Source organism: Homo sapiens, chromosome 1 (assembly GCF_000001405.40).
Source record: "Homo sapiens chromosome 1, GRCh38.p14 Primary Assembly".
In the NCBI taxonomy this organism is placed as follows: domain Eukaryota; kingdom Metazoa; phylum Chordata; class Mammalia; order Primates; family Hominidae; genus Homo; species Homo sapiens.
In genome coordinates, this window is record NC_000001.11 from 62,947,834 (window position 1) to 62,951,050 (window position 3,217).

The window sequence follows — 3,217 nt, forward strand, 5'->3', positions numbered from 1 at the left end:
GAAAACTACATTTTTGGCCGGGTGTGGTGGCTCACGCCTGTAATCCCAGCACTTTGGAAGGCCGAAGCGGGCGGATCACCTGAGGTTGGGAGTTCGAGACCAGCCTGACCAACATGGAGAAACCCCGTCTCTACTAAAAATACAAAATTAGTCAGGCTTGGTGGTGCATGCCTGTAATCCTAGCTACTTGGGAGGCAGAAGGAGAATCACTTGAATCCAGGAGGCGGAGGTTGCGGTGAGCTGAGATCATGCCATTGCACTCCAGCCTGGACAACAAGAGCAAAACTCTGTCTAAAAAAAAAAAAAGAAAGAAAGAAAAGAAAAATACATTTTCTCAAAGGGAAAGTAAAGCTGATTCCTGCTGTACATTAGCTTAGGTAGGTACCCAAAGACCCTGGTGTAATAATGATGTTGTTCTCCTGAAATAACATTTAAAAAAAACTACATATTTTACTCTTAAGCAGATGGGATTGTCTTCTCTTCCAACTAAAAACAGTATGCTGATATTGAGGATTAGTATTTATCATTTATCACTGATAAATGGTGTATTGGTTGGGATAACACTAGCTACAGTAACAAATAGATGCAAAATATATAATGATCAAGCAGAATAGAAATTTACTTCTTGTTCATGTAATAGGTCCTGGTATTCCTGGTCAGCAGGCAGCTCTCTTCCATGCACTCATTCAGGGATTCAGACCCCTTCCCTTTTGTGGCTTCACTATCCTCTAAGGCATTCTTGTTACGTGAATCCTATTGGTAGAAAAGAAAAGGGCAGGGGGATGCGTACCCATTTCTTAATTGCTTTGGCCCAGAAATAGCCCATGTCTTGCCTTCTCACAACCCACTGTCTACAACTCAGTCAGATGGCTGTACCTAAATGCAAGGAAAGCTGGGAAGTATAGTAGTGTCCAGGCAGAAAAGGAGAGGGATTTCAGAGCAGTAGCTCACAATCTGTATCACAAATGCCTACCATATGCCAGTCCCAGTGCTAGGTAGTAAAGATATTGAGATGAACAAGACACTTTTTCTGCCCTAAGCTATCTCCCAATCTAATGGATGAGACTATGCTATATTTATGTATACTTACAGTTTAGTGAAGAATGTGTTATCACAAAGCAATGAAGGCAAGCCAGTGAGAACATGTATATGAAAAATAATTAACCCTGCCTGTAGCAGATGGGGGTCATGAAAGGCCTTGATTATGTCAGTTTCATAAATGTTTATTGAGCATCTACTAAGAATCAGGGACCTGTTACATTCAGGTTGCTGGAGATACAGATAATAGGACATAATCCTAGTCCTTGGGGCAATGGATGTACAAACAGGCGAGTTCAAATGGATAACTACCCCTATAAATGGGGGATGGGAGGAGTATAATGTGCATGCTTGGTGGGTTAAGTGCTTTGTATTTGGAGTCAGGCATACCTGGGATTGAATTCCAGCTTTAACACTATCAAACTCACTGTGTGACTTTGGGCAGCTCTTCCAACCTTTCTGAATCTGTGTCCCTCATTTTTTAAAAAGGAATAGCAACTCCTTGTATAGTCTCAGGAGCCAAATTGCCTGGGTCCAAAGCCTGGATCTTCTCCATACTAACTTTGCAATGTAGAGAAATTCACTGAACCCTTTTGGGGCTTCAGTCCAAAGCCTGGATCTTCTCCATACTAACTTTGCAATGTAGGGAAATTCACTGAACCCTTCTGGGGCTTTAGTCCAAAGCCTGGATCTTCTCCATACTAACTTTGCAATGTAGGGAAGTTTATTGAACCCTTCTGAGGCTTTAGTTTCCTCATCTTTAAAACAGGGTTGATAATAGTATCAAACTCATACAGTTGGTAGGAATATGTGAATTCAGAGAACAAAAATTATCTGAACTGTGCCTGGTACCTAAAAGTTGCTCAGTCAGTGTTAGGTCTTGTCACTGTCTACCTTACAGTTTACTATAATCATTAAATGAGATAATGCCAGTGCCTGGAAAATATTAAATATTCAATTAATGGTAAAGATTATGTTTAAAAGTGATAATCTGGAGGTAGGATGACTGCAGTGTCCTAAAAAGAAACTGCTGAGAAAGCAGATGGAGTGAAATGAGGCAAAAATTCCTGACCACAAATTTATTCTTCATTCACCCCAAGACAGGTGAAGCAACAAAGGCAGGTGGCTTTTGGAGAGACAGTGCTTCCAGTTGCAGGTAGAAGGCTGTTCATTTCCTTATTTGCTTTCTCCCTCTCTTCTATTGGTGGGGAATTTAAGAATATGCCATAGAATTTAGGTTAAGGAAGGAAGGCATAAATGATTTGTTCCAAGAATGCAGGAGGAAAGTCTCCCTAAACACAGCATTCATTAGTAAGAGCTTCCAGAACCTTCCAAAATTCTGTCTCCTTTTATAGCATCCCGCAAGTCCAAAGTAATGAAATAAAAGCATGGTAATAGGTAAACACAAGTACGGCACCCAGATAGCTCCTTGGCAGGCAGGGGGTGTTTGAGAGCATTGACTGGGGTCTCATTTTCCATAATCGAGCCCAGCCCTGCTGTGATCACTATAGTATTATGACCTATGGGGCAAAGACGGTACCATACGTGATATTTCATTTTTGGGTAGCTGGGGGTAGTAATGAACCAGTTGCAGTCAAGTGAATTAATTTCCCTAGCTATTCAAAAATGAAACTTCATGTACAGCAATTTGTTCTTCATTGCTTTTTTTCCCCACTGTAGCCTTTTCAAAAATTACTCTTCCTACAGAAAAGTGGAGAGAAAGAAAAAGAAAACTCAATGAAAAAATATTTTAACCTTTGCTGAATGTTGATGTCTTTTCTGATCATCAATAATAATGATAAATGTATCCTATAGATACACAGCTTAGAATTCACATTGCAGTTCTATTAGCCTCATACTGACTGATTATGAATCTTAAAACATGAAATAAATATTCAAAAAGTTGGTATATAGATTCCAGAGCCAATTTCAAACAGTTTAAATTATCAGTTGGTATTTATCCAAACTCCAAGGAGTGCCCTAATCAATCTGACTCAGTAGAATTACTCAATTACTGTACATTTAATAAATACAATTTAATGATCAAAACACATTATTGAGAATGAAAGACTTTGGCATAGGTAGGTATAGACATGTAACACAGCTGTTAATCCTCTATAAATTTGTTTTTAATAACACTGATGTTTTGGTTGCATATAATAACTATTTCATTAAATCT